Raw genomic sequence first — 5,809 nt, forward strand, 5'->3', positions numbered from 1 at the left:
AAAGACAAGTATAGCTAGCTGAAGAAAAATAAAAGGGAGGGGAATTTATATGCTTGTAAGACCATGGTGGTTGCAGATCTAGGAATAACTGGATCCAGAGACAAAGGCTATCTAGATCCCTTTTCTCTCTGTCTTTGGTCTCTGTTCACTCTATGAGTGGTAGTTATTCTCTACTACAACAGTAGGCTGTTCCATAAAGTGGTGAAAAACTCTGCACTCATAAGGTAATAGCTCCAGTGACAAGAGCATCTCTTTGGTGCTAACTCCAGCCAGAAAAATCCCCAGGAAAAGCTCTGATTGTTTGGCTTGGGTATCTGCCCACCTCTGGACTAATCACTATGGCCCACATATGGTTTAGTGATTGGGTGAAGACTTGTTAGGCAAACCCAGAAAGCAATTTATTTAATATTTAGACTTTGGTGAACTTTGACCTTCATGAATACAGCCATAAATCTGACAGTATTAAAAGGTCTCTAAGAAAGGATGAAAACAGTATTCACAGAAGAGATAGGAATCTCTCTCTCAAGTATTATTCATTTAATAAGATAGGCAATTTGGTTTTCCCTGGCAAGTTGCCTAGGTTTTAGAAAAAAACATATTAGGAGAAGGGAGGGGTTACTGCTAAAGCTGATATATTGAAAGTGATACTCGTAGCAAGGGAGGAGGGAGAGAAATCGTCTTTTAAAATCTCAGCAAACTGGGCTGTTTGGTATAGAGGTAAACAGTCTTTAAGGGCCCCCGTAGCAAAAAATGATTATAAAAAGCAACTTTCAAAAGTTGGGGTAAAGTTTGGGGAGGGTTGTGGGAAGAGGGATAGAAAAGTTTTGAAATCAGATATAACTAGATACATATTTTGGCTAAATATATCTTATTTTGGACAAGTTAATCTTTCTAAGCCTTAGTGTCTTTATTTGTAGAATGGAGATAACAATGCCTAGTTCATAGGTTCAAGTAAGTTAAGTATTATATATCAGACACATAGTAGGTGAACAATAAATGTGACTTCTTCTCATCCTTTCCATTATTTACCATGAGAAATAACAATCGTAATGATGATCTTGAGTTTGCAAGCAAGACTATATTATATCCAGTGTACCATGTATTGGGAATGTAGAAAAATTTTGATGAGATTTATGTTAAAAGATGGCTAAAATAAAATGCTTATTTTCTAAAATGGTAAACTTTATCTAGAACATTTGCTTTCACAAAGAAGACATTACTACTCTATCACTATAGTATAGATGAATCCAAGATTGTCAGCTTTGCAGTTCCAACATATAACTCTCATCTCTAACTTATTAGTAGGCAAGTTGTTTTGTCACCATTCCATGATTCCCTGAGTTTTAAATTTTTTCCAGCTGCTGTGAAGCTGACGTGGGCCACATACTGAACAGTGGGATAAATTCTCTCTGCTTTGTAGGAGCTGTGAAACTTCTGGCTGACTCGAGATATGAATGTAGAGGAGGACTGCTCTGTTCTGGCCATTGCTATCAGGGCGGCTTCCAGGAAGACTGGTGGGAGGTTCCTAGTGTGCCCCAGGGGATCCTCTTTGAGACCTGGGCCTGAGGTCCTAGAGAAGTTCTCAAATCTTATGCATTTCTGGACACAACCTTGCTTGGGTTGATCTGGTGAGGAGGCCGTGTCTGATCAGATCCTTGTTTCTAGAACTCTCCCCTCCCTTGCTTCTGTGTCACTATTGCTGCCCTTGTTTCCCTGCAAGCCCTCTGGTCTTCCCTCTCACTCCATTCCCCCTTTCCTACATTCTACGTATTTTTCCTGGTTCTCTCTTTTCTCATTTACTGATACTGTCAACTACTAATATGTGTGACCATTCACAGCTCTGTATTTCTACACTTCAACTCCTCTCCTGCCTGCAGTTTTCACCTATGCATCTGCCTGTGGCATGTTTCTAACTGCATGTTTCCCAAGCTCCTCTAACACAGCATCTTTTTCATTTTTCCCTCCTCCCACCCAAACCTGTTCTTCTTTCTGTATTTCCTCTTTTTACCAGAGAAAGTACCTCTACTTACCAGTCATGTAATCCTGAACCTGAGAATCATCCCTATCTCTCACTATTTCCACTCGATATTACTACTAATTCAATATTACTACGAATCCAATATTACTAATAACTCAGTTGCTATTTCTGTTAGTCTTACTAAGCCAGAATTCTTAATAATAGTGCCAGAAGTCACTGACTGCAGGGTCCTGTTCTTAATTTCTCTAAACTGCCTGTCAGTCCTCAGGTCCTGCTGATTCTACCTGGTTATTATGTTTTAGATCTTCCTCCTTAATTGTTTTCCTGTCATTTCTATCCCACACTTACTGCTTTAATTCTGTCTTCTAAATGGTCTCTCTACTCCGGTCTTGCCCTCTTTCAATCCTCCCCACACTGCAGCATGATCCAAACACCTCTGAGATTGACCACAGACTGAGTAGCCTTCTGTGTTAGGCTACTCCTTTGCACAACCACAAAGCAAATGTCTTGGGTAATGCTTCACTCATCTTCTCGTTTATCTTAGAACCTGAATGTGATAAAAAGTTAATTCATTTTAAGCTACTGAAACAATAGTTCATCGGTGTTCTCTCAGTGCTTCACCTCAGTATATTTAATATTCACAGAGGGTTCATTCCAGCTTTCCTCAGCACCTTGCTGAGTTCCTCCTAGCTACACTCTCATTGACAGAGGTGAGTGCTGTGGGGCAAGGGAATTAGATGAAAAATGGTCTTCTAATCTCTGTCGACATAGGGATTGAGATGCTGCATTAACATGGGATGTAGGACTCAGCGGAGAGTCGTGGGAGAGCTTTGGAGAAGCTAGTGCTAAGTACAAATAGACTGATTTTCAAGTAGAGACTAATGCTATACACTAGAATTCTCCCTGTGGAGCTCTTGTGGTTAATTAAGAACAAGTGAAGGGTCGTAAGATCCTCTGCATCCAACAATAATCTATGCTGGTTGGCAAATTGAGTCAAACAGCAGGCTCTGTTCTTTGAAAAAAAAATTAGATAAATAAGAGAGTGTGTTAGTTATTAACTTGCTACAATGTGGAATGACTTTTAGTGAGATATAAAAATCCACTAAGTGTTACAAATTATTTATGGAACACATTGAATTTTTTCCCTCTTTTTTAAAAAAATAATTTTAAGTTCTGGGGTACATGTTCAGGATGTGCAGTTTTGTTATATAGGTAAATGTGTGCCATGGTGATTTGCTGCACCTGTCAACCCATCACCCAGGTATTAAGCCCAGTATGCATTAGCTATTTTTCCTGATGCTCTCCCTCCTGCTGACTCTCCAACAGGTCCCAGTGTGTGTTCTTCCCCTTCCTGTGTCTATATGTTCATTGTTCAGCTACCATTTATAAGTGAGAACATGCGGTATTTGGTTTTCTGTTCCTGCATTAGTTTGCTGAGAATAATGATTTCCAGTTCCATCCATGACCCTGCAAAGGACATGATCTTGTTCCTTTTTATGGCTGCATAGTATTCCATGGTATATATGTACCACATTTTCTTTATCCAGTCTATCATTGATGGGCATTTGGGTGGATTCCACATCTTTGCTACTGTGAATTGTGTTGCAGTGAATGTACGTGTGCATGTATCTTTATAACAGAATTATTTATATTCCTTTGGGTATATACCTGTAACGGAATTATGGGACCAAAAGGTATTTCTGGTTCTAGGTATTTGGGGAATCATCACACTCGGTTTCACAATGATTGAACTAATTTACATTCCCACCAGTGTGAAAGCATTCCTGTCTCTCTGCAGCTTCACCAGCATCTGCTGTTTCTTGACTTTTTAATAATTGCCATGATGACTCGCATGACATGAGATGGTATCTCATTGTGGGTTTGATGTGCATTTCTCAAATGATCAGTATGTTGTTTTTTTCATATGTTTCTTGGCCGCATAAATGTCTTTTAAGAAATGTCTGTTCATGTCCTTTGCCCAGTTTTTAATGTTTTTTTTTTTCTTGTAAATTTGTTTAAGGTGCTTGTAGATTCTGGATATTAGACCTTTGTCAGATTTTCTCCCACTCTATAAGTTGTCTGTTCACTCCAATGATAGTTTCTTTTGCTGTGCAGAAGCTCTTAGTTTTTTATTTTTTTATTTTTTATTATACTTTAAGTTTTAGGGTACATGTGCACAACATGCAGGTTTGTTACATATGTATACATGTGCCATGTTGGTGTGCTGCACCCATTAACTCGTCATTTACATTAGGTATATTTCCTAATGCTATCCCTCCCCCCTCCCCCCACCCCACAACAGGCCCCGGTGTGTGATGTTCCCCTTCCTGTGTCCAAGTGTTCTCATTGTTCAATTCCCTCCTATGAGTGAGAACATGCAGTGTTTGGCTTTTTGTCCTTGCGATAGTTTGCTGAGAATGTTGGTTTCCAGCTTCATCCATGTCCCTACAAAGGACGTGAACTCATCCTTTTTTATGGCTGCATAGCATTCCATGGTGTATATGTGCCACATTTTCTTAATCCAGTCTATCATTGTTGGACATTTGGGTTGGTTCCAAGTCTTTGCTATAGTGAATAGTGCTGCAATAAACATACGTGTGCATGTGTCTTTATAGCAGCATGATTTATAATCCTTTGGGTATATACCCAGTAATGGATGGCTGGGTCAAATGGTATTTCTAGTTCTAGATCCCTGAGGAATCGCCACACTGTCTTCCACAATGGTTGAACTAGTTTACAGTCCCACCAACAGTGTAAAAGTGTTCCTATTTCTCCACATCCTCTCCAGCACCTGTTGTTTCCTGACTTTTTAATGATCGCCATTCTAACTGGTGTGAGATGGTATCTCATTGTGGTTTTGATTTGCATTTCTCTGATGGCCAATGATGATTAGCATTTTTTCATGTGTCTTTTGGAGAAGCTCTTAGTTTAATTAGATTCCATTTGCAAATTTTTGCTTTTATTGCAATTGCTTTTGAAATTTTCATCATGAAATCTTTGCCCATGTTTATGTCCTGAATGGTATTGCCTAGATTTTCTTCCAGGCTTTTTATAGTTTTGGGTTTTACTGTAAGTCTTTAATCCATCTTGAGTTAATTTTTGTGTAAGGAACTGGTCTAGTTGCATTTTTCTGCATATAGCTAGCCAGTTCTCCCTGCCACCATTTATTAAATGGGGAATACTTTCCCCATCGCTTGTTTTTGTCAGATTTGTTGAAGATCAGATGGTTGTAGATATGCAGTCTTCTGAGTTCTCTATTCTGTTCCATTGGTACATGTGTCTGTTTTTGTACCAGTACTATGCTGTTTTGGTTACTGTAGCCTTGTAGTATAGTTTGAAGTCAGGTAGCATGATGCCTAGAGCTTTGTTATTTTTGCTTAGTATTGTCTTGGCTATACAAGCTTTTTTTTTGGTTCCAGATAAATTTTTAAATAGTTTTCTCTAAATCTGTAAAAAATGTCAGTGGTAGTTTAATGGGGATAGTATTGAATCTATAAATTACTTTGGGCAGTATGGCCATTTTCACGATATTGATTATTGATTCTTCCTGTCCATGACCATGGCATGCTTTTTCATTTGTGTCCTCTTTGATTTCCTTGAGCAGTGGTTTGTAGTTCTCCTTGAAGAGGTCCTTCAAGTCCCTTGTTAGCTATATTCCTAGGTATTTTATTCTCTTTGTAGCAATTGTGAAGGGGAGTTCGTTCATGATTTGGCTCTCTGCTTGTCTGTTGTTGATGTATAGAAATGCTTGTGATCCTTTGCACATTGATTTATTTTGTATCCTGAGACTCTGCTGAAGTTGCTTATCAGCTTAAGAAGCTTTTGGGCTGG

At 38.9% G+C, this 5,809-nt stretch overlaps 1 annotated feature.

The window, feature by feature from the left end:
• Window positions 4,256–4,443: a silencer, noted in NCBI's record as "fragment chr7:112181860-112182047 (GRCh37/hg19 assembly coordinates)". NCBI's record gives its function as "represses an EF-1alpha promoter that drives an FKBP-Casp9 reporter gene in an ReSE screen in K562 erythroleukemia cells {active_cell/tissue: K562}" and the evidence as "EXISTENCE:reporter gene assay evidence [ECO:0000049][PMID:32094911]".

The sequence above is a fragment of the Homo sapiens genome, chromosome 7 (genome assembly GCF_000001405.40).
Source record: "Homo sapiens chromosome 7, GRCh38.p14 Primary Assembly".
In the NCBI taxonomy this organism is placed as follows: Eukaryota; Metazoa; Chordata; class Mammalia; order Primates; family Hominidae; genus Homo; species Homo sapiens.